Source organism: Homo sapiens, chromosome Y, assembly GCF_000001405.40.
Source record: "Homo sapiens chromosome Y, GRCh38.p14 Primary Assembly".
NCBI lineage: Eukaryota > Metazoa > Chordata > Mammalia > Primates > Hominidae > Homo > Homo sapiens.
The window spans coordinates 16490692-16517387 of NC_000024.10; positions in this window are offsets into that span (position 1 = coordinate 16490692).

Genomic DNA, 26696 nt, shown 5'->3' on the forward strand with positions numbered 1-26696 from the left:
TTAAACTACATACTAATTTAAATGTATACTCCACCTCCATATTTCTGCCACAAATGTAACACCCAAGATTGAGAAATATTCTAAAGAAAAAGGAAAGACATAAAGCAATGTAATTTTATCCCATACTATTTCTATAACCCCTTTAATAACAACAAATCCAAAAGTTATAAAAATCGACACGCCAAGTCACAATGGATTTATGATGCAGCGCCCTCTATAGGCAAGAGAGGCTTGTACTTAGTTTGCTAGGGAAGATTCCAAAATAAGCCTCCAAAAACCTGAATGCATGTTTCCATTTCTCTGAAAAACTAAGATTACAGTCTTGGAAGCCTGGGAAATCACAGGGCAAGGTGATCTGGAAACACCAAGAAGCTAAGAGGGACATTGGTCATCTGGGAGAGGCCTTGTGCTATATCACCAGCATTAGGATGGTATTTCAGCATCCACAACCCAGTCTGAAGGCTGAGGAAGACTGCCTTGAAGGGTACTGAAGGCATGGCAACCACAATTGATCGCCAGGGTGAAATGTGTGCTCTCAGCCACACAAAACTGGAATCATGAAAATACTCAGTGGAGGTGTATTCCAGCAAAGGGGGATACTGTATTGCTTGAGAAGACATTCAAGAGTATAAAATGAAATGGAATGTTCAACTGACCCGTTACCGGAGAGGGTCCAGATCCAGAACCAGAGGGACAGTAAGAAAGAATTCAGGGCGAGTCTATAGAGTCACGTGAAAACAAGTTTGTTAAGAAAGTAAACAAATAAAGAATGAGTACTACATAGACAGAATAGCCCCAAGGGCTGATGGTTGCCCATTTTTATGGTTATTTCTTGATTATATGCTAAAAAGAAAAGGGTGGATTATTTATGCCTCATCTTTTTGGACCATGTATAGTAACTTCATGACATTTTCATGACATCTGTAAACTGTCATGGTGCTGGTGGGACTGCCTTTTAGCATGCTAATGCATTTTAATTAGCAAGTAATCTGCCATGAGGAGGATCAGGATTTGGCCGGCTTTTTCTTGCAAACTCTTTTATCAGCAAGGTCTTTATGACCTGTATCTTGTGCTGACCACCTATTCATCCCATGACTTAGAATGCCTAACTGTCTGGGAATGCAGCCTAATATGTCTTAGCCTTATTTTACCCAGTGCCTATTCAAGATGGAGTCACTCTGGAACACACAAGCACTTCTACAAAATCAGTAGGCAAATAGCTTGTTTGATTAATCTCACCATTCCAAAATGAGAACTGTTCTTAAAAGGGCCATTGCCAGTTCCATGAGAGAAAAATGGAAGATTCCAGAAAAATGCAGATGAGAAAACTACTTGTAAAAAAGGAGATGGTGCAAGGAGATGGAGTTCACCAAATTGTTCTCCAGAGACTCACATAAAATACAATGGACATTATCTTTAAATAATTAAACAAGATGTGAATGGTTTCAAAGAAAAATTCTAAAAGGCCAGAAAAGGGTACAAACTGAGATGAGAGAGGTCAATAAATAAATAGCAGCAATGTTAAAATATAGGAAAGCAAGTAACAAAGAGACATGGGGGAACACAAGATAAAACCCTTTATATACATGAGGGAGATTCAAGAGTGAAGCCCACAAAATTAACTACAAACTAAGACAAAAGTCATTTTAGGATTAAAAAATGGTGGAACATTTTATTGCTGTAGAAATAATTACAACAATTGTAAAATGCACAGTATGAAATTACTGAAAGACAAGACTTTAAAAATGACCAAAATATATTTGGATGTTAACCACCACTCTATTCTCTATTTCTATGAATATTTTAGATTGAACATATATATGAGATCATTCAATATTTATCTCTCTGTGTGTGAAAAGTAAAGTAGAGTTTCCTTTTCAAAGACTTTTCTCCCCATCTAATTAGAAATAAATGGCAACTCCTCTTAGAAGCAAAATTTATTCAAAGACCTGTGCTAACATTCTTAAATATCTGCTAGCTATAATAAAGAAATCAATGTACTTTACATTCTGAGCTCCCACAATTTATCCTAAATATTTGTCCTGGCATGCTTATACCAGTCCAAATGTTGGGGGAAAGGCTTATGGGGTACCTGTATAAACTGGCCATTAAAATGTGGGACAATAAGTTGTGGAAAGCCACAAGAGACCTCTGACGAGGAAAGCCTTCTTATCGTCATTATGTTCCCATGCTCTGAGTGAGACTTGCTCTGTTATCCATAAACACTGTGTTCAAGGAGAAGGACACTCCTTAGAAGCATTGGAATGTGACCAGACATGCAAGCTCCTAGTTAAGCCTGCTCCTACTAGCTGCTTTCCAATAAGTTAAAAGATACGCTGTTGAGCACAAAGGAGATTCATTTAAACTGCCACTGCTATAGATTACGCGTATGATGCACTGCCTTTCACCAATTTGCCTTGAACATCTGCTTATTAAATCTAAGTGATTATACTCAAATAATGTGGAGACCAGAACTCTGAGCCTTTTGCAGCCTCCATTCTGAAAGTAGCTCCCTGGCTACTTTATGCCCTCTTAACCTGTCTCTTCCCATTCTTTTGTTGCCACCAGACTTTGGGTACCCTACGGATGGTGTTGAGGCTGGTCTCCAACAGTCCAAGCCAGCATTAGGTCAAAGCCTATTCCTCTTCCTTATCTGAAGATGTTTTTACCTTTCTCAGCATTCCACAAGTTACTTCCTTCTTCCTTTGTTCTCCTCTGCTTTTGCCTCTTTTAAAACTTTCTAAGTTGCTAGCAAATCAAAACAAATACAGAATGAGGTCCCGTTCCAGCCAATGGAAACTGGACACAGCAGTAGGGTGGACGCACCAGGTTATAAATGACCCCGTCTCCTTTGTTCAGTGTAATCTCATGGCAAAACTGCTGGCGAGTGTAGCCTTTCTGCAGAAAGTTTAAAAATGGCCTTACTAAGGAAATTAAATTTATATTCAAGTGTTATTTTTTTACTGCACTGAGGAACGAGCATTTCAAACAAGTGCCATAAATATGTGCCATTACTGTTTCACAATAAAAACAAAAAGTAAATTTGAAAATATTAAGACGGGCATTCAAGATAAAAATTTCAACTTTCCTACGAAATTATGAAAGAAATTACTCTCACATTTCTTTACAGTGACTTCATTAGTATGTGGCGTTGAGGAAATGTCTATGAATTCCAGCAAAAAGGAATAATTATCCAAGACTTTTTTCCTGTCATAAACATGCTAAATTGTCCATCAACAGACTAAAATTTACAATCTAGCAAAAACTTAGTATTCCAGTACTCGTGCAATTTACAGTAAAATTCACTTAACACAATCTAAGCAAGAGGCTGATGTGAGAAATAGGAAAGCAGAAGCTTTCATAAATTATTATTACAGAGTCATCCACCTGAACAAACAACAGAAATAAATTCCCATAGATGTATGAAATATTTTAAATCTTAGAAATGAACATGTAAAATAATATTACAAACGACAGTCATACTAAAGTTTATAGGGAATTATGACAGTTTCATCATCTTTAAGAACAGAAGTCCCTCATAAATCATAATTTAAATAATCAGTTAAATATGCAAAATTTTTCAAATGTAGATACATATATGTGTATATATATATTTTAAACTCTTATTTTAAGTATACATGTGTGTATATGTTACATAGGTAAACTTGTGTCATGAGGATTTGTTGTATAGATTATTTCATTTTATCACCCAGGTATTAAGGCTTGTATCCATTAGTTATTTTTCTTGATCCTCTCCCTCCTCCCACCCTCACCTTCCTATAGTCCCAAGTGTGTGTTATTTCCCTCTATGTGTCCATATGTTCTCATCATTTAACTCTCATTTCTGAGTATGAACATATGATATTTGGTTTTCTGTTCTTCTCGCATAGTTTGCTAAAGATAATGGCCTCTAGCTCTATCCAGATTTGTGAAAAGGACATAATCTTGTTTTTTTTTTTCCTATAGCTACATAATATTCTATGGTGTATATATATCACATTTTCTTTATCCAGTATACACACCGATGGACATTTAGCTTTATTCCATGTCTTTGCTATTGTCAATACTGCTGCAATGAACATATGCATGCATGTGTCTTTATAATAGAATGATATCTATTTCACTGGGTACATACCCAATAATGGGATTGCTGTGTCAAGTAGTATTTCTGCCTCTAGATCTTTAAGAAATCATCACATTGTCTTCCACAATGGTTGAACTAATTTACACTCCCACCAACGGGTAAAAGTATTTCTTTTTCTCTACGATGTCATCAGCATCTGTTTTTTTTTTTTTGGCTTTTTGCTAACTCATTCTGACTGGTATCAGGTGTTATGCCATTTTGGTTTTGACTTGCATTACTCAAATATTCAGTAATGTCGACCTTTTTTCATATGATTGCTGGCCATGTGTATATTTTTAAAACAAAATGAGAGTCAACGTTTAGAAGGAATAAGTACAAGTTACTAAAAACATAACTTTATTTTAAATTTAGAGATCTCTTTAATTTTACATCATAACAAATTTTTTTGTTATAACAAAGTTATTTTCATCTATTAATAAACTTATTAAGCTTTATTTGAAATGCCTGTTTGGTATCAGACAGTCTGCAATGTTTTTATATGGGCAAGTTACTCATAGGTCACTTAGCTTAACCATCCATTTCTCTCTCTCTGTTTCTGTCTCTGTGTGTGTGTATACACACATGCATATATGTGTATGTATATATATATAAAGGTATATGTACACACAACACACATATATGTATATAAAAGTGTTTCTGTTTTTATAGACATATATATATATATATATATAGAAATGTGTGTGTGTTTACAGAAACAGAGAACTCAAAGATCAATATATTATTCTATATCTGATAAACAGTAGCCAAGTTATTTGAAGTAATCTTTACATTTCACTTGCAAAAAAAAGTAACATGTCCTATTTGTAAAAGTGGTTTTGGCTTTGGTTCTTATATAGCAACTCAAAGACATTTTAATGATTACTTTTCTTCAAAATAGTATCTTCCTTAAGTAAAATGCATTTTCATGGAAAATGTCTACAGAATTTGGATATGTCAGAAAAATTAGTTTACTGCAGAAAAGTCATCATAATGTTAATGTCATTTCAGTTTGGAAATAAAAATTTAAAACTTTCCATTACTTTTAAAATTGATTTTCGCTCAGAGGAAATAAAATAAAAACAGTGTTTTATGGAAACCCAATTAAAATATTAAGTCAGTTGTAGAAACACAGCTAAAGTACGGAATGCCTTATTCACTCATAGCTACAACTAAAACGTTTCTGCACTTAGAAATCTACATCAGGGTATTACAATATAAGTGTATCATGTTAGTTCTTAAAGCTTAGAATCTTAAGCTTCTTATTTATCACTAGTTCTCCTAGAGATACACATATTTCCAAAACAGTACAATCTTTAGGGATGATGCCCACAGATGTATTTTTGCAAACTATGCATCCTCAGTGCTAAGAATGTTCATTTGTATTGAATGAGCCAATGAAAGTTCTCATCTTTGTTCCACTTGAAAACAAACATTCCATGATCCACACTCTTTGTCATCTGTCTTCTTTGGTAGGATCTCCAAAATACTTGGCATTCTGAGGGACTAGATAACAGCAAATCTTATGTGGACTATCCTAGAGTGAACACTCAGACCTATAACCTGGCAGTCAGTCATACCTGCACAATTCTCTCTTTGAGTTCGTGAAGTTCATGAGAAGTTCTGTGAAGTCTAAAAATATGTATGTATTTTTTTTTGCAGGAATGCTAATGTCATCTTTTATTTGCTATGGTACAAACCACTGATGGCCAACCCAGTGAGTGTGTCTATATGCAACAGTTTTACAAAGCAGCTGCAAATTATTTGACATTAATCACATCCAAAATTAAAAGATAATATCAAGGTATCTCTTGTACATCGTGGTGACTATAGTTAATAATAATGTAGTATGTACTTGAAAATCATTAAAAACAGTAGATTTGAAGTGTTCTCACCACAAAAAAAAAAAAATGCATGTGAGGTGATGCGTATGTTAACTAGCTTATTTAGCCATTACACGGTGAATACGTAGTTGAAAACATCATGTTATACAAGATAAATATATATAATTTTTCTCAATTGAAAATTATTAATTAATTATTTTAAAGTCGAGGGTGTAAATTTTATCCGCTTGAATCAGGAATGAATTGTGGCTACCTGGACCAACTGAGTACATTAGAAATGATGCTTTGTGGTCATAGTAAGTCCCTTCAGCTTGCACTTTACTTCCATGGGCCACGTATTTTTATGGTGCCTTCTCTTAGCATGCAGTACCCCAGTCTTCATTTCCTGAGAAGCACAGGATACATGGTGAAGCCACATGTTGTTGTTCTGGTCAACCATCTCAACTGAGTCCTGTTTTAAGTTGACTCAGTCCAGGCATGCACCCAGGCATGTGAGTGAAGAAACCATCCTGAATATAGACCAAGATGGTCTGTTCTAAGTGCTGTTCCATCTTCTACCTGTTGGCCTCAGCTCCAGGAGAAACAAACCACCTGCTGTCAGCACCTTATCTATATTTCTCCCCCTAAGAAACAATTAAAGTGAGATTTTCATCACTGAAATTCACACAGCCACATCTATGATTCTGTCTGAAGAAATCAGCCCAGAGTTGCCAATTTGTGCCTTTTTCACCACCTTCCATCTGTACAACAACAGTGTACTTTCTCTAACCGACATAATTAGAATAATCACACACACACACACATACACACACACTCCAAGTTGGAGCCCAACTGGGGAGTCCCTGCTTGTTGCAAATGGCCAGTGGCCCCAACATAAAGCATCACAGTCCTCAGGTCATGTTTCCTCATCAGGGAGGAAGTCACAATAGACAGTGACCCAGTACCTCCAGCAGGCGTGGGGTTTCTCCTGAAGACAAGATGACCATGAGCACAGCCAGATTCTGTGAGTGGTGATCCTGTCTCTTAGAGCCCAAGATGTTGTCTGTCTTGGTCGTTTTCATGAGTCAGTAACAGCTTAGTAGACAGATGGGAATTAAGGTGTGGATTACATTGTGATAAATTAGCTATTATCCAAAAAGAAAGAGACAGAGAGAGATTCATATTTGTAAATGAGCCCTATATCTTCATATATGACTCTGTGTGTGTTGTGTTTGCACAGCACAAAGACCTGTTTTTCTGTGAATAATAAAACAAAGTGACAAATGTATTTCTGTGACAAAATTGCTAATATCATTACACAAATGGCTCCTTGTTTATCGTTCTTTATTACTTTTCCTTAATCTCTAATTGTACCTCTACTCCTTTTCAAAAAATTATATTTGAGTAATACACTAATAAAAGAAAATAATAAATAAAAATAAAACAATACTTTTTATTTTGTTTCAAGTACGTAATTTCAGTTGGAAAAAAATCATGTTACACTAAGGACAAGATCCTAAACCATGCCCCAAGAGCATTGATTAAATTATGCGGTTTCTGCATATGTATGTTATGTGTCAGTATTTTTAGACAAATACTTACATTGTGAAGAGAATGCTTTGTGGATATTCGTTTTGCCAAAGCAAATCATTCTGCATGGCAACAACCTTGGATGAGGTATGTTTATAGACTATAAGAGGAAAATTATTGCCTATGATCTTTAATCTATTTTAATGTCCATTCATATTTTGGCCACTCAGCAGTATAATCAATGTGTAAGAAATAGTACACTTCAAACTCTATATTACATATTCACTTTTACACACACACATTCACACCTTTCAGTTAATGTTTGATCTATCTAAGCAAAACATGTCAAGTTTTTCTGTGAACTGCTCTGAAAATAAACTCAACATATTGCATTTAGAATAGCATCTCCTTATAGTCACTTCCTAAAAGTTATTAGATCAAAATAGAGAGCCTGGAAAAATGAAAACCCCTATCTTTTATTATAGTTAATTATAAAATTTTTTAGATTTTTATCTATAAAATTTTATAGATAATTATCTATAAAAGATAATTATCACTCATTTTAAAACAGCAAAGGAATAAACAAATTTAAAAGGTATTTATGACTGATCAAATATCACTACTTTCTAGTTCATAACTCACATATAAACATGAATTATGGAATAGATCTTTAAAGTATATCTGACATTACATTATTACAGTCTATATTTTTTCACTATCAGCTTTCTATGCCTCTTAAGTTGGCAGAAACAATCTTAATAATGTATTGTTGTAACAAAAGTTCTTACCTGAAACATAACCAGTGAACACAACATGAACTTCTTTGGAACACTAATCTCCCCATACAGTCATACCAGTGACACCTGAATTCAGAGCATAATTTGTACCATTACAAATGTTCTCTTTAATTTTTTTTAAAAACACCTTTAATATGAAAGCTCAGTAGAGTTTTTTGTAATGCAAGCACCAATGTAATAAAATATTTGATAATGTCAGAGTGACAATTTGGGTTTTTCATTTTCCATCTGTATATATATCTCAAAATATGGTGTTTTCTCTCTAGTAAGCTGGCAGTTAGGAAAAGTAGAAACATCTCAAAAGAAGGCAATGTGCAATGTGTTTTTTTAGTTCATCTCCAAGAACTGTATTTGGCAAAAATATATAGAAGTCAGCATAATGTAAAATATCCTCAACTCTCTACTAAGTTTATGTTTCTCCTTTAACTCATTTGTTTCATTCTTTAATACTAAATAATATAAATCAGCAATGCTGTGCCATTTAAATAGCATATATGTTTATTATTTTACTGAAACTGATGGGCTGGTCATAATGACTTACACTGGTAGCCCCAGCACTTTGGGAGGCTGAGTTGGGTGGATGAAGGGGGTCAGGGGTTCAAGATAAGCCTGAGCAACATGGCAAAACCCTTTCACTACAAAAAATACAAAAATTAGCCAGATGTGGTGGTACACACCTATAGTCCTGGCTACTTGGGTGGCTAAGCTAAGAGGACTGCTTGGGCACAGGAGGTGGAGGTTGCGGTGAGCTGATATCATGCCACTGCATTCCAGCCTAAGTGAGAGAGCCACACCTTGTGTTTTTAAAAAAAAATAAAGAAAGAGAGAGAGAAAGAAACTTATGCAGGCAACCCCCAGTTTGGGGCTGAGTTTGGGAAGGTTCTTGCCTTCGCCCGGGAAAGAATTCAAGGGTGAGCCAGTGGTGTTTGACAGCAATTATTCTGAGATGGCAGAAGTACTACTTACTGTTCCTTTCAGAGCAGGGCTACCTCGTAGGCAGTGTGCCCACAGTAACAACTCAGAGGCAGTTCTGCAGTCATATTTATACATCCTTTTAATTACATGCAAATGAAGGGGAATTTATGCAGACATTTCTAGAAAAAGAGTGGTAATTTCCAGATTGTTGGGAAGGAGTGGTAACTCCTGGGTGTTGCTATGGTAATGGTAAACTGACATGGCACACTAGTGGACCTGTCTTATGGAGAGCTCCTTCCATCTTGTCACTGTTTTAACTAGCCCTCAGTTTGGTAAGGTGTGTAAGCCCCACCTCCAGAGTTGGGTCCTGCCTCCTTCCTACCTCTCTGTTTCTGAGACTTGAAACACGGTACTGAGACAAATCCTCAGCAATTTTATCTCTGGAGTAGAAATAGACCAGGGAAAAGATTTATTGACAATTGTAAGGCTGAAGATGCTTTAAGAATTACGAAGGAATCGTCTTGATGAGAGGAACCTGGGATGACTGTGCTGACTGCATTTTCTCTGATCCTTATTCATAATCTTCCGTCTCCAGCTTCATCCTAATCCAACAGATATTCTCTTTGCAAATGAATAGCTTTCAACTCCAGAACCTTCTCTTTGGACTGTACTAATGGTATTGCCAGGAGCTCAAATATATCACCTTCCTCACAGAGATGTTCTTGGTGTCCCTATCAATAAATTGTCTTTCAACAACTAGCCACATCCATAGAAAAAAACATATTGGAGGTTGAAATCCCTCTGAAGAGCTTCAAATATCAGAGATCCCCAGGGATCTGGTGTTGGAGAGTGTTTTTATCTGAGTCATTTCTTTAAACAATTACATCAACATCCTTCATTCCATGCTAACATTTTCTCCATGGAGGGAGGGATAAAAATCTTCCACTAATGCCAAAGAACTATTCCATGATACCATATGCATATATATGTGTATGTGTGTGTGTATATATATATATATATATATATATATATATGTGTGTGTGTGTATATATATATGTATACGTAGTTTTTTGATGTAAGTGATGGCTTTTGTTTCATTACATTATCATATGAAAATGCAAGTGATTATAAATATGGACTATAATTTAGTAGAGGGGGCACTATGAGGAAGGAATTGTTACTTGGAATTACAGAGAGAGATTTGTGGTAAAAGTGAGAATCCTTTGAAGATTTGTCATGGAAAGCAAATAAATAAACTAAAAAAACAAGAAATAAAAATTATCAGTCCTACAAAATCAAAAGTGTATGCCAGAATTGGTGAGCTTTTCAGAAAGGAAAACAAAACAGAACACAATACAACACAATAAAGCAAACCAATAAAAGCCATCACCTAGGAAACTTAATTATATGGACACAAGAGGGTGCCTGTGAATTGAAAAACCTAGTAAGCCATAAACAGCCCCTCACCAGTCCCTCATAAGTCAAAACACAATTTTCCTGGTGGTACAGGAAAATTACACACTGAAAAATAAACAGAAAAAATATACAATTCACTGGAAACTACTGTTAAAATAAAATTCAAAGTGAAACCCAAAAATTTTTAGCCTAACAGGATGCTTCACACAGTGCCCAACAAAGTAAAGAAAAATTTTGGCACAGAACAATAACACCTATAAAGGTTGTTTCCTCAAGTGTTTCTTGATGTGAAGTGCATAGTTAAAACATATAAACAAACCCACCTGGAGAAAAACAGAGTTAGTTATAACCAAAATCACTCACTCAACATCACATAACAAAAACCAAGTATTTTTGTAAATTTTATTCCTTTGGAATTGATATACATTTGCTTTGTCACTAAATGCATAATCAATTTTAATAAATATTTAAATGTAACTGCAGATAAAGTATATTACCTTTTATCGAAGTGTACATTTTGTATACACCCATAAGGGCATCTCATTGATGAATACATTATTTGCTTCCTCTTGTGTTATTTCGTTCACTTGAGTGAGTGTGAATCCTTGCATATCTTATATATTTATGTTATGAAAATTGGTTGCTCTCTTATTTAAAGCATATTCGTAAACATGTCTCTAGTGTTATTTGGAATATTTACTATTACACTTATTTTCTTTTATCACTAGTGCTTTGGCACCTAAATTTTATCTTTTCTTACATAATGATTAAAGCAAAAATTAGAACAGTTAAACCATGTATTATACAACATAATTAAGTGTTGTTGTTTGGAAACAAAGAAGAATATGGACAAACAATTAAATTTTTAAAAATAGGAATAAGGTTCAAATACAAAAATCAAGAAAGTAGTGAGTAGAAAAAAGATTACTGAAATAAAATCGAGACATCATGAGAGATTGATTTGTGTAACATACAGCAAATATGCTTGAAAATTTGTGTGAAATGTCTAATAAAAATAGCTATTTACCAAATGCAACTCATGTACAAAAAGAATCCTTCAATAAAACAATTTTCATTTATCATAGAAAATCATAGAAATATTTCAAATAAGTTATCCTCCAAAAACGCATCTGTTTCAATGGTTTAATAGATTTACTCCAATGTTTCAAATAATTAACAATTGTAATATTTCCTATAAAAATTATAATAAAAATGCAATATTTATATGACTCAAATATGACAAACATTCCTAAGCCTGATTTTCCAAAAAAAAATTGCATAAATCTGAAGTCCAGTAATATGATGCCTCCTGCTTTGTTCCTTTTGCTTAAGATTTTCTCGGGTATATGGTCTCTTTTTTGCTTCCATATGAATTTTAAAATAGTTTTTTTCTAATTCTATGAATAATGTTAATGGTAGGTTAACCAGAATAGCATTGAATGTATAAATTCCTTTGGACAGTATGGTCATTTTAACGATATTGATTCTTCCTTCCTAACATGAGTTTTTTTTTCCCATTTTTTAAGTAATATGAGGGTATAATTTCTTGAATGTCTATGTAACATGACATACCATCATTATTGTCATCATCTGATTCATCACTATGATCATGATGTCATCACTATCATAATCACTACCACCATCAACATTGTCTTCATCATCACCACCATCACTATGACCATAATCAACACCATTATTATCACATCATCATCATTTTCATCATCACCATCATCATCTTCATAGTCATCATCATCATTATCAACATCATCATCAACGCTATCTTCAATATCACCGCCAGGATTGTCATCTACATTATCACCATCATCCCTATCACCATCATCATTATGACCAACAACATGAACATCTCCATCACCACCACCATTATCATATCATCACCATCATCACCATTATTAACATCATTGTCATTGTCACAATTACCATCATCATAATCACCTTTATCATCATCATCGTCATTACCTTATTGTTATATATTACATATTGCTCACCATATGGGTATCAAACCAGAAAATTCATTTATGAGAAGGGGGAAATGTTACTTAATGTCACAGATAGGCTACACAATGCCAAATAGCATGTCAAAGATAATTATGAAATGTCCCATTAGTGCTAGTTTCTTCACTTGCGAAGGAGTGTAGCTTTGTTTATTGAGATAGGCTAGTAGTCAGTAAAGGACAGAAGCTCATAAAACTAAGAGTGATAATTGACATTAAAATTAGTCCAATTTATCCCATTAATTGTTTCATAGATACTGAATTAATAGAGAACTCAAATATTTTACCCTGTTACCCAGCCAAAAAGGAGTAACTGTAATATCTATGGTTAGGTTTTTTTGATGAAGTTTTATCACATTGCCTATGAAACCAAATTCAGTGAGTTAAATCATTTAAATCATAGTCAACTACAGTAGACAATATACAAATCTTCAAATAATACATGTACAAAAAGTTTATTTTTCCAATTCACTTCTCAGATAATTCTTCTGAAATGTGAGTCAATCATCTTCTAGGAAACTTCTCTAACAAATCTCATTGTATACTGAGATTCTCCCAAGTTTGCTATCCCAAAGTTAGTGATCACTCATCTCTGAGTAATGAGCTGATTAAAGAAAATGACCTTTGTTGTTAATTCTGCTCTCAGTACTCCTATAGTACTTTCAAACAGCAGTGATCAGAAGCTGAAATTCCGTGCAACTTTGCAGCACAGTTTCATGGGCATGATTCTATCTTTTCTTTCTTTTCCTTTTTTTTTTTTTTTTTTTTTTTTTTTGAGACGGAATCTCACTGTTTCACAAGGCTGGAGCACAGTGGCACAGTCTTGACTCACTGCAACCTCTGCCTCCCGGGTTCAAGTGATTCTCCTGCCTCAGTCTCCCAATTAGCTGGGACTACAGGCGCCCACCACCACACCCAGCTAATATTTTTGCATTTCCAGCAGAGACAGGGTTTCACCATGTTGGCCAGGATGATCTTGATCTCTTGAACTGGTGATCCACCCTCCTCGACCTCCCAAAGCACTGGGACTACAGGGTGTGGTTCTACCTTATTGGAGCTTAATGAAAAGTGCTTTTTGATGTTACAGTCTATTAAAATAAGGAAAGTAGACATTTTTCTGGGTCATATTTTATTTACTTACAGCAAGGGAACTGGTGGGTCTGTACTAATGGCACAATAAATTATTACATTAATATATTGGACCCCTGAGATCATGAACAAATTCTCAAGAACTATTTTCTTAAAACATCACTTTTAATTATCTTTTCAATTAAAATCATGAAGTCATAAGAGATAATCACATGACAAAATTAAACAGTCGCAATAGAGTGCCAGCTTTGAAAAAAGTCATCATTTCTTAAAATAAAGCTAATTTAAAAATTATTTAAAGAAGTTCATGCATTTAAGCAATTTGTACTAGGCACTAAATTCCTATTACCAGTTTCACTGAATGAGTTTTATCAGTATCCCATACAAAAACAAAAATCTGTCAATTATTTTTATACTTGTATCATTTTTAAACAAAATCATCATGAGTAAATATAGAATTGGGTGTTTTCTGTTAATATTCCAGTAAGAAGGAAATGTCAAATATAAGAAGTTTTTTTTTTTTTTTAATTTTCAGAATGGTAAGTAGTCCTTGTCTTTACTTTAAAAGATCGTGTTTGGCAAGAGGAAAAAAAAATCTTAAAGTCTTTTGAAAACTTCATTTTAAAGTTGTACACACAATGCTTGTACCGCCACAGTGCTAAATAATGACCTCGGACATGTTCTTTGTCTTTTTAAAACCTCACTTTCCTGGAAAATAAGATGATCTCCATGGTTGCTTTTGGTACAATGAAGCTATACTTCATGAAGAAGGAGAAGAAACCTAATGGACCCAGTATGACAGTATTTATTTCAAGATCTAAAGCAACAAAGCATGCTAATAATCTTCATGCATTAACATTTTATTATATTCAGACATCAGGTAGCTTCAGGTGCCTGTCAATTACAGAAATTTGGAAGCTAATGAATCAATAGTCAACACAGGGCTGGTAACTCTCTGAGTTTAATTGTTACATTCAAATATACATGTGAGAAATCATTAACCTGTTCTACCTGATAGATCATGTTTTTCAACACAGGTGGCTATTTTTATTTTCTATGTTCATCTTTAGCCAAGTGAGTTTATAGAGTGGGAAGATACTGTCAATTGCACCCAGCAGTTGAATGCCTGCATAATAAGAAGTGTTACAATGACATAGATGTCACGACTCTACATTTGCATAATGTGCACAAGTGTCAAATCATCCATGGATTTGTTTGTTTGTTTGTGTTTGGTTTGTGTTGTTGTTGGGGGTGGTTGATGGGTTGGTTTTGAAATACGGTCTTGCCCTATCACCCAGCCTGGAGTCAGGTGTCACTATTGCTTAATTGCAGCCTCAAAATCCTGGGCTCAAGTGATCTTCCCACCTTGGCCTCTTGAGTAGCTAGGACCGGAGGCACACACCACCATGCCTGGTGAATAGTTTTGTATTTTTTGTAGAAATGGGATTTCATCTTGTTGCTCAGTCTCATCCATGGGGTTTTTAAAAATAAAAGTCCTCTGAAATAAAAATTAACCTTTCTGCATCTATTGAGATAATCATGTGGTTTTTGTCTTTGGTTCTGTTTATATGCTGGATTACATTTATTGATTTGTGTATATGGAACCAGCCTTGCATCCCAGGGATGAAGCCCACTTGATCATGGTGGATAAGCTTTTTGATATGCTGCTGGATTCAGTTTGCCAGTATTTTATTGAGGATTTTTGCATCAATGTTCATCAAGGATATTGGTCTAAAATTTTCTTTTTTGGTTGTGTCTCTGCCTGGCTTTGGTATCAGGATGATGCTGACCTCATAAAATGAGTTAGGGAGGATTCCCTCTTTTTCTATTGATTGGAATAGTTTCAGAAGCAATGGTAGCAGTTCCTCCTTGTACCTCTGGTAGAATTCGGCTGTGAATCTATCTGGTCCTGGACTCTTTTTGGTTGGTAAGCTATTGATTACTACCACAATTTCAGAGCCTGTTATTGGTCTATTCAGACAGTCAACTTCTTCCTGGTTTAGTCTTGGGAGAGTGTATGTGTTGAGGAATTTATCCATTTCCTCTAGATTTTTTAGTTTATTTGTGAAGAGTTGTTTGTAGTATTCTCTGATGGTAGTTTGTATTTTTGCGGGATCGGTGGTGGTATCCCCTGGCCATCAGATAAATGCAAATCAAAACCACACTGAGATACCATCTCACACCAGTTAGAATGGCAGTCATTAAAAAGTCAGGAAACAACAGGTGCTGGAGAGGATGTGGAGAAATAGGAACACTTTTACACTGTTGGTGGGACTGTAAACTAGTTCAACCATTGTGGAAGTCAGTGTGGTCATTCCTCAGAGATGTAGAACTATAAATACCATTTGACCCAGCCATCCCATTACTGAGTATATACCCTAAGGACTATAAATCATGCTGCTATAAAGACACATGCACACGTATGTCTATTGTGGCACTCTTCACAATAGCAAAGACTTGGAACCAACCCAAATGTCCAACAATGATAGACTGGATTAAGAAAATGTGGCACATATTCACCATGGAATACTATGCAGCCATAAAAAATGATGAGTTCATGTCCTTTGTAGGGACATGGATGAAATTGGAAATCATCATTCTCAGTAAACTATGGCAAGAACAGAAAACCAAACACCGCATATTCTCACTCATAGATGGGAATTGAACAATGAGAACACATGGACACAGGAAGGGGAACATCACACTCTGGGGACTGTTGTGGGGTGGGGGGAGGGGGGAGGGATAGCTTTAGGAGGTATAACTAATGCTAAATGAGGTGCTAATGGGCACAGCGCATCAGCATGACACATGTATACATATATAACTAACCTACACATTGTGCACATGTACTCTAAAACTTAAAGTATAATAATAATAAAATAAAATAATTAACCTTAAATTATAATTTTAAATATGAAAATATCTATCTAAAAAGTACATATAAGTTTCTTATAAGACTTAAATATATCAATGTGTCAGACTGTAATGTGTTGTCTATAACTGATTAGTTGGTTGCCTAATATACAGTTACCAATGATTAAATAATTCATTCTGGAAGATAAGCCTCATGGCTTTTAATAAGGCATCCACACACCCAAAGATTTACCTATTAAAGAAGATAGAATGATTGTACATGACATCACTCTAAATGCATAGCTCAGTCTCTAAAAATGTATTAAGATATGTTGACAAACAATTAAATATGTCAAATAATAAACATATCAAGTAGATTACTGTTCCTAATATTTAAAATAACTTTATAGTCATAGTTACTACATGTCAAATTTTAAACATTGTTCTTCTAGTTCTAGCTGTTTTTATATTTGAATTCAAATATTATTTCTACCTCTGCACATTACAACTATTCAATAGGGCCATTCGTTTCCTATTTCAGTTTTTACAAGCAGTGTTTAGCTTTTTATATCCCAAACTTCCTCACCATCCATAAATACTGGTTACTAAATTCAAACATGTACTACTATTTTCCTGTAAAAATTAATTCACCTTAGTGACCACATGGGGATTGGCGAGTATGCCTGTGTCCCCATGTATTTTAACTTGTCTGTACTTTCTGAGTTTGTTAACGACTCTGTTCAATTTTCCCATTGTCTTGACTGGATAATTTTTTCTCAAAAAGTTGAAATGCTGTTATTTACATTTATTTCTAGAATAAGGCAAAGTGGGCAAGCAAAATTGCCTAACCCAATTTCTTTTCTATCAATTTTTACTAATTTTCGTGTGAAGTATGTGCCCATACGTATTCAAAGAATGATATTTACCAAACTGTCTCCATAGTTGTATCCTGTGTGATAGGCTCTGCCTCTATTTTATTGAAGTGGACACTGACCAATTTGAGTTCATGCTTTTCATATTTTACAAATAACACACTGTAAATCAAACACGTAGTCTTTTACAGGATTGTGTGGTTAAACAAGCAAACTACAATCCCCAAATTGCGGCTTTTGATCTCAATTTTTATGGACCTTTCTGAGAAGAATCTTGCTAAGTTGGTAGCTTTTTTTCTCCATTATCTATGGTATATTTCATTTAACACTCATTATATACTGTTTACATTTTAGAGTAACTCACTAGAACAGTGATTCTCAAATGTTAGTGTAGGTAAGAACATTATGGAAAGCTTTTTAAAACATGGATTTCTGCAAAACCTTCTGATGCAGAAGGTACAGTTTGGTTTCATGCATTTTGCTTCATTTTTATTTTATTTTACTGTAAATTGATAAATTGATAATTTATAATTACATAAATAAATGAGATACAAAGTGTTGTTCAATGCAGAATAATTAAATTAAACTAGTTAGTATATCCTAACATTTTTGTGGTTAGAACATTTATAGTTTACTTTTTTGTCAATTTTGAAGTGTAAAATACTCCACATTACCTATATTCACCACACTTTGTAATATTATCGGAACTCAAAAAAAGGGAATAAATTACTTCTGTCTAATTGAGATTTTGTATCCTTTGACCAAAGCTTTCATTTCCCTTATCCCAGACTCTGAAATTGCTGTTGTCTTCTCTGCTTCTAAGAGTGTGGTGGTTTTATATTTCACGTACATTTAATTTCTAACACATCCCTGGTTTTATTCCTCTGCTGAGCTACAAACCACACTTGAATTACAAAAATGAGGGCTGGGTCATATTTCTTGTTAAAAAGTTAATCTCTAGAGATTAATAAACATGGTAATGCACTAACTGTTAGCTTATGCCACAACATGACTAGACCAGGTTGTTAAGTGTATAGACACAGACTAATGCTTACTTTCCTTGGCATTTCTCTATTTACACTCACATTGTTTTTTCCACATTTTTGGCTTACAATAGAATGGAAGCTTTTACAGTCAACTTGGGGGGATGCAATTTTGCCATAAGATGAAGAGAGACAAGTAGAAAAAAAAAAGAGTAAACATGCTAAAATACAACCTGTCTGTTCATCACATCCTTTCTAAATAAGATTTTCAAGTTATTATTTAAAAGGGACAAAGTGGAAGGTGTATGACTTTTTGATATTGCAATTGTGATTCTACAGGGCAAAGGAAGTCATTTTTGAACATCCTTAGTCATTCTCCCTGAGAAATCATTGTTTTTTTATTTTTTTATTTCCATAGGTTTGGGGGAACAGGTGGTGTTTGGTTACATGAAGAAGTTCTTTAGTGGTGATTTCTGAAATCTTGGTGCAACCATCACCTGAGCAGTATACATGGTAAGCAATGTGTAGTCTCTTATCTGGCACCACTTTCCCACCATTTCCCCTCTAGTCCCCAAAGTCCATTGTATCATTCTTATGCCTTTGTGTCCTCACAGCTTAGCTCCCACCTATGAGTGAGAACATACAATGTTTGGTTTGCCATTCCTGAGTTACTTCACTTAGAATAATTGGATCCAATTCCATCAAGGTCGCTGCAAATGCCTTATTTCATTCCTTTTTATGACTGAGTAGCATTCCATTATATATATATAAAATATTTCATATTTTATATTTTATATAATTATATATTATATATTATAATTTAATATACAATATAATATATATATACAAAAACAATTTATTTTTTAATTTATTATACTTTAAATTCTAGGGTACATGTGCACAATGTGCAGGTTTGTTACATAGGTATACATGTGACATGTTGGTTTGCTGCATGCATCAAGTCAACATTTACATAAGGTATTTCTCCAAATGCTCTCCTACCCTCAGCCCCCTACCTTCTAACGGGTCCCAGTGTGCTATGTTCCCCACCCTGTGTCCATGTGTTCTCATTGTTCAACTCCCATCTATGAGTGAGAACATGTGATGTTTGGTTTTCTGTCCTTGTGATAGTTTGCTGAGAATGATTGTTTCCAGCTTCATGCATGAAGGACATGGCTACATAGTATTCCATGGTGTATATGTGTCATAGTTTCTTAATCCAATCCCACTTGGGTTGGTTCCAAGTCTTTGCTACTGTGACTTGTGGCACAGTAAACATGTGTTCATGTATCTTTATAATAGAATGATTTATAATCCTTTGGGTACGTACCCAGTAATGGGATCGCTGGATCAAATCTAGATCCTTGAGGAATTGCCACAGTCATCCACAATATTTGAACTAATTTACACTCCCACCAATGGTGTAAAAGTGTTCCTATTTCTCCACATCCTCTCCAGCATTTGTTGTTTCCTGACATTTTAATGATCGCCATTCTAACTGGTGTGAGATTTTATCTCATTGTGGTTTTGATTTGCATTTCTCTGATGACCAGGGAAGATGAGCATTTTTTCATATGTCTGTTGGCTGCATAAATGTCTTCTTTTGAGAAGTGTCTGTTCATATGCTTTGCCCACTTTTTGAGGGGATTGTTTGTATTTTTCTGGTAAATTTGTTTAAGTTCTTTGTAGATTCTGGATTTTAGCCCTTTGTCAGATGGGTAGATTGCAAAAATTTTCTTCCATTCTGTAGGTTGCCTGTTTACTCTGATGATAGTTTCTTTTGCTGTGCAGAAGCTCTTTAGTTCAATTAGATCCCATTTGTCTATTTTGGCTTTTGTTGCCATTGCCTTTGGTGTTTTAGTCATGAAGTCTTTGCCTATACCTGTGTGCTGAATGGTATTGCCTTGGTTTTCCTTTAGGGTTTTTATGGTTTTAGGTTTAACATTTAAGTCTTTAATACATCTTGAATTAATTTTTGTATAATGTGTAAGGAAGGGATCCACTTTCAGCTTTCTACATGTGGCTAGCCAGTTTTACCAGCACAATTTATTAAATAGGGAATCCTTTCCCCACTTCTCTTTTTTTGTCAGATTTGTCAAAGATCAGATGGTTGTAGATGTGTAGTGTTATTTCTGAGGCCTCTGTTCTGTTCCATTGGTCTATATATCTGTTTTGATACCAGTACCATGCTGTTTTGGTTACTGTAGCCTTGTAGTATAGTTTGAAGTCATGTATTGATGCCTCTAGCTTTGTTCTTTTTGCTTAGGATTGTCTAGGCTATGCAGTCTCTTTTTTGGTTCCATATGAACTTTAAAGTAGTTTTTCCTGATTCTGTAAAGAAAATCATTGGTAGCTTGATGGGGATGGCATTGAATCTATAAATTACCTTGGGTAGTATGGCCATTTCCATGATATTGATTCTTCCCATTCATGAGCATGGAATGTTCTTCCATTTGTTTGTGTCTTCTTTTATTTCGTTGAGCAGTGGTTTGTAGCTCTCCTTGAAGAGATCCTTCACATCCCTTGTAAGTTGGATTCCTAGGTATTTTATTCTCTTTGGAGCAATTATGAATGGGAGTTCACTCATGATTTGGCTCTCTCTTTGTCTGTTATTGGTGTATAGTGATGCTTCTGATTTTTGCACATTGATATTGTATCCTGAAACTTTGCTGAAGTTGCTTATCAGCTTAAGGATATTTGAGGCTGAGATGACTGGGTTTTCTAAATATACAATCTTGTCATCTGCAAACAGGAAAAATTTGACTTTCTCTTTTCCAAACTGAATACCCTTTATTTGTTTCTCTTGCCTGATTGCCCTGGCCAGAACTTCCAACACTATGTTGAATAGGGGTAGTGAGAGAGGGCATCCTTCTCATCTGCCAGTTTTCAAAGGGAATGCTTCCAGTTTTTGCCCATTCAGTATGATATTGGCCATGGGTTTGTCATAGATAGCTCTTATTATTTTGAGATGCATTCCATCAATACCTTGTTTATTGTGTTTGTAGCATGAAGGCTGTTGAATTTTGTCAAAGGTCTTTTCTACATCTATTGAGATAATCATGTGGTTTTTGCTGTTGGTTCTGCTTATGTGATGAATTACATTTATTGATTTACATATGTTGAACCAGCCTTGCATCCCAGGGATGAGGCCAACTTGATTGTGACAGATAAGCTTTTTGATGTGCTGCTGGATTCAGTTTGTCAATATTTTATTGAGGATTTTCACGTTGATGTTCATCAGGGATATTGGTCTAAAATTCTTTTTTTTGTTATGTCTCTGCCAGGCTGTGGTATCAGGATGACGCTGGCCTCATAAAATGAGTTAAGGAGGCTTACCTCTTTCTCCGCTGATTGTAATAGTATCAAAAGGAATGGTACCAGCTTCTTTTTGTACCTCTAGTAGAATTTGGCTGTGAATCCATCTGGTCCTGAACTTTTTTGGTTGGTAGGCTATTAATTATTGACTCAATTTCAGAGCCTGTTATTCCTCTATTCAGAGACTCAACTTCTTCCTGGTTTAGACATGGGAGGGTATATGTGTCCAGGGATTTTTCCATTTCTTCTAGATTTTCTAGTTAATTTGTGTAGAGGTGTTTACAGTATTCTTTGATAGTAATTTGTATTTCTGTGGGATTGGAGTTGATATCCCCTTTATCAGTTTTAATACCATCTACATGATTTTTCTCCCTTTTCTTCTTTATTAGTCTTGCTAATAGTCTATATATTTTGTTGATCTTTTCAAAAAACCAGCTCTTGGATTCATTGATTTTTTGAAGGTTTTTTGTGTCTCTTTCTCCTTCAGTTCTGCTCCGATCTTAGTTATTTCTTCCCTTCTGTTAGCTTTTGAATTTGTTTATCTTGCTTCTCTAATTCTTTTAATTGTGATATTAGGGTGTCAAATGTAGATCTTTCCTGCTTTCTCTGGTGGGCATTTAGCGCTATAAATTTCCCTCTACACACTGACTTAAATGTATCACAGAGATTCTGATACATTGTGTCTTTGTTCTCATTGGTTTCGAAGAATATATTTATTTGGGCTTTTATTTTGTTATTTACCCAGTAGTCATTCAGGAGCAGGTTGCTCAGTTTCCATGTAGTTGTGAGTTTTGAGTGAATTTGTTAATCCTGAATTCTAATTTGATTGCACTGTGGTCTGAGAGACTGTTTGTTGTGATCTCTGTTCTATTATATTTGCTGAGGAGTGTTTTACATCCAATTTTGTGGTCAACTTTAGAAAAAGTGTGATGTGGTGCTGAGAAGAATGTATATTCTGTTTATTTGGGGTGAAGAGTTTTGTAGATGTCTATTAGGTCTGCTTGGTGCAGTGCTGAATTCAAGTCCTGAATATCCTTGTTAACCCTCTGTATCACTGATCTCTCTAATATTGTCAGTGGGGTGTTAAAGTCTTCCATTATTATTGTATGAGAGTCTATGTCTCTTTATAGGTCTCTCAGAACTTGCTTTATGATTCTGGGTGCTCCTGTATTGGCAGCATATGTATTTAGGATAATTACCTCTTCTTGTTGAATTGATCCCTTTTACCATTGTGTAATGGCCTTCTTTGTCTCTTTTGATCTTTGTTGGTTTAAAGTCTGATTCATCAGAGACTAGAATTGCAATCCCTGCTTTTTGTTTTGTTTTGTTTTCCATTTGCTTGGTAGATCTTCTTCCAACCCTTTATTTTGAGCCTATGCGTGTCTCTGGACATGAGATGGGGCTCCATACCCTTTAAACCAATTCTAAGGTTCTTCTCAACTTCAAATAGTCCTCCTTTCTTCAACTTCTTTCTTCTTGGAGATTTCAAAGTTTGGCTCTCCATTTGCTTAGTAAATATTCTTCCATCCCTTTATTTGGAGCCTATGTGTGTCTTTTTATGTGAGATGGGGCTCCTGAATACAGCACACTGATGGGTCTTGACTATCCAATTTGCCAGTCTGTGTCTTTTAATTGGGAAATTTAGCCCATTTACATTTAAGGTTAATATTGTTATGCATGAATTTGATCCTGTCATTATGATGTTAGCTGGTTATTTTTCCTGTTAATTGATGCAGTTTCTTCATAGCATCAATGGTCTTTACAATTTGGCATGTTTTTGCAGTGGCTGGTACTGGTTGTTCCTTTCCATGTTTAGTGCTTCCTTCAGGAGCTCTTGTAAGGAAGGTCTGGTGGTGACAAAAGTCTCTCAGTATTCACTTCTCTGTAAAGGATTTTATTTCTCCTTCACTTTATGAAGGTTAGTTTGGCTGGATATGAAATTCTGGGTTGAAAAATTCTTTTCTTTAAGAATGTTAAATATTGGCACCCAATTTCTTCTGGCTTGTAGGGTTTCTGGAAAGATCTGCTGTTAGTCTGATGAGCTTTCCTTTGTGGGTAACATGACCTTTCTCTCTGGCTGCCCTTAACATATTTTTTCTTCATTTCAACCTTGGTGAAACTGACAATTATGTGTCTTGGGCTTGCTCTTCTTGAAGAGTGTCTTTGTGGTGGTCTTTGTATTTCTTGAATTTTAATGTTGGTCTGCGTTGCTAGGTTTGTGAATTTCTCCTGGATAATATCCCGAAGAGTGTTTTCTAACTTGCTTCCATTGTTCCTGTTCCTTCCTTTTTTTTTTTTTTTTTTTTTTTTTAATACGGAGTCTCACTCCATCTCCCAGGCTGGAGTGCAGTGGTGTGATCTCGGCTCACTGCAAGCTCCACCTACTGGAATCACACCATTCTTCCACCTCCACATCCCAAGTAGCTGGGGCTACAGGTGCCCATCAGCACGCCTGGCTAATTTTGTTTTTCTTTTTTTAGTAGAGATGGTGTTTCACCATGCTAGCCAAGATGGTCTCGATCTCCTGACCTCATGATCCGCCCGCCTTGGCCTCCCAAAGTGCTGGGATTACAAGTGTGAGACACTGCACTTGGCCTCTTCCTGTCACTTTCAAGTACACCAATCAAACATAGATTTTGTCTCTCCACATAGTCTCATATCTCTTGGAGGTTTTGTTCATTTCTTTTCACTCTTTTTTCTTAATCTTGTCTTCTCACTTTGTTTAATTAATTTGTTCTTCAGTCACGGAATTTGTTCTTCAATCACTGACATCTTTTCTCCCACTTAATTGAATCAGCTATTGAAGCTTGTGCATGCATCACAAAGTTCTTGTGTCATGGTTTTCAGCTCTATCAGGTCACTTAAAGTCTTCTCTACACTGTTTATTCTAGTTAGCCACTCATCTAACCTGTTTTCTAGGTTTTTACCTTCCTTGCAATAGGTTAGAACATGCTCCTTTAGCTTGGAGAAGTTCGTTATTACTACTGACCTTCTGCAGCCTACTTCTGTCAACTCGTCAAATTCATTCTCTACCCAGTTTTGTTTCATTGCTGGCGAGGAGCTGTGATCCTTTGAAGGAGAAGAGGTGCTCTGGTTTTTGGAATTTTCAGCTCTTCTGCTCTGTTTTCTCCCCTTCTTTGTGGTTTTGTCTACATTTGGTCTGTGATATTGGTGACCTACACATGGGATTTTGGTGTGGATGTCCTTTTTGTTGATGTTGATGCTATTTCTTTCCATTTGTTAGTTTTCCTTCTAACAGTCAGGGGCCTCAGCTGCAGGTCTGTTGGTGTTTGCTGGAGGTCCACTCCAGACCCTGTTTGCCTAGGTATCACCAGCAGAGGCCAAAGAACAGCAAATATTGCAGAACAGCAAATATTTCTGCCTGATCATTCCTCTGGAAGTTTTGTCCCAAAGGGGCACCCATATGTATGAGGTGTCTGTCAGCCCTACTGGGATTGTCTCTCAGTCAGGCTACATGGGGGTCAGGGACTCACTTGAGGAGGCGGTTTGTCCTTTCTCAGAGCTTGAACACTGTGCTGGGAGAACTACTGCTCTCTTCAGAGTTGTCAGACAGGGACGTTTCAGTCTGCGGAAGTTGTGTGCTGCCTTTTGTTCAGCTACTCCCTTCCCACAGAGGTGGAGTCTGGAGAGGCAGTAGACTTTGCTGAGCTGCAGTGGGCTCTGCCCAGTTCAAGCTTCTTGGCCACTTTGTTTACCTACTCAAGCCTCAGCAATTGTGGATTCCCCTTCCCCCGCCAGGCTACAGTGTCACAGGTCAATCTCAGACTGCTGTGGTATCAGTGAGCAAGGATCCATGGGCGTGGGACCCACCAAGCCAGGCATGGGAGGGAATCTCCTGGTCTTTCGGTTGCTAAGACCATGGGAAAAGTGCAATATTTGGACAGGGAGTGTACCGTTCCTCCAGGTACAGTCTGTCACGGCTTCCTTTGGCTAGGAAAGGGGAAATCCCCCAACGCTTTGCACCTCCCGGGTGAGGCAACACCCGCCCAGCTTTGGCTCACCCTCTGTGGGCTGCACCCATTGTCCAACCAGTCCCAGTGAGATGAACCAGGTACCTCAGTTGGAAATGCAGAAATCACCCATCTTCTGCGTCAATCTTGCGTGCAGAACAGAGCTGTTCCTATTCGGCCATCTTGGACGTGACTCCGAGAGATTGTTTACTTAACCTTTTTATGAAGCTAAGTATTTTGACATGATGTGTATATTGACTTGAGACATGACTTTTTTTCAAGTCATATTATTCCCTGATTTGGAAGGTTTCAATGTGCATAAAAATATAGATACCCAAATAAGAACTTATTTACTTTTTATTGTATTATTTAGAACCTCTGTTATTTTTCCATTCATTGTAACTCTTTGCTCTTATTAGAAATCCTTTGTAGAAATGATTGCTGAAATCTGGTCTTCAAGTAATTTGAACATTGAAAAATCATTTAACATTTTACATTCTTAGTTGTGTGTATGAAATAAAGTAATGATAGAAACAACAATGACCTAATGTCTCTGACTTGACAGTTTTTCAATCACACCTTCTTCATGGTTTGGATGTAGACAAAGGTAAACTCTAGGTCATTGAAATACCACAGATCTGCTCAAAAAAGTAAAAAAATGGCAGCTGATTATACACACACACACACACACACACACAACAATCACACAGATCATCTGTCTACTTTAGTGATAATTGCTAACATAACTTATTAAGTTGAAGTAAATAAAGTTTTGGTAAACTGAATGCTTCAGTTGAAACCACTAGGGGGTCATTACAGAATATAATTTTACCAGAGACCTGGTGGATGTAGTTGGAGTACATCCTAGTGCTCCTTTTTCAATATGCACCTTCATGCAGATCTTTCAAACCAACTGATTTCACAGACCACCATCAATGGTGACCAATGGAGATCAATACTTGCTAAATTTTGGAAATAAAATAGTAATGGAACTTAGAAT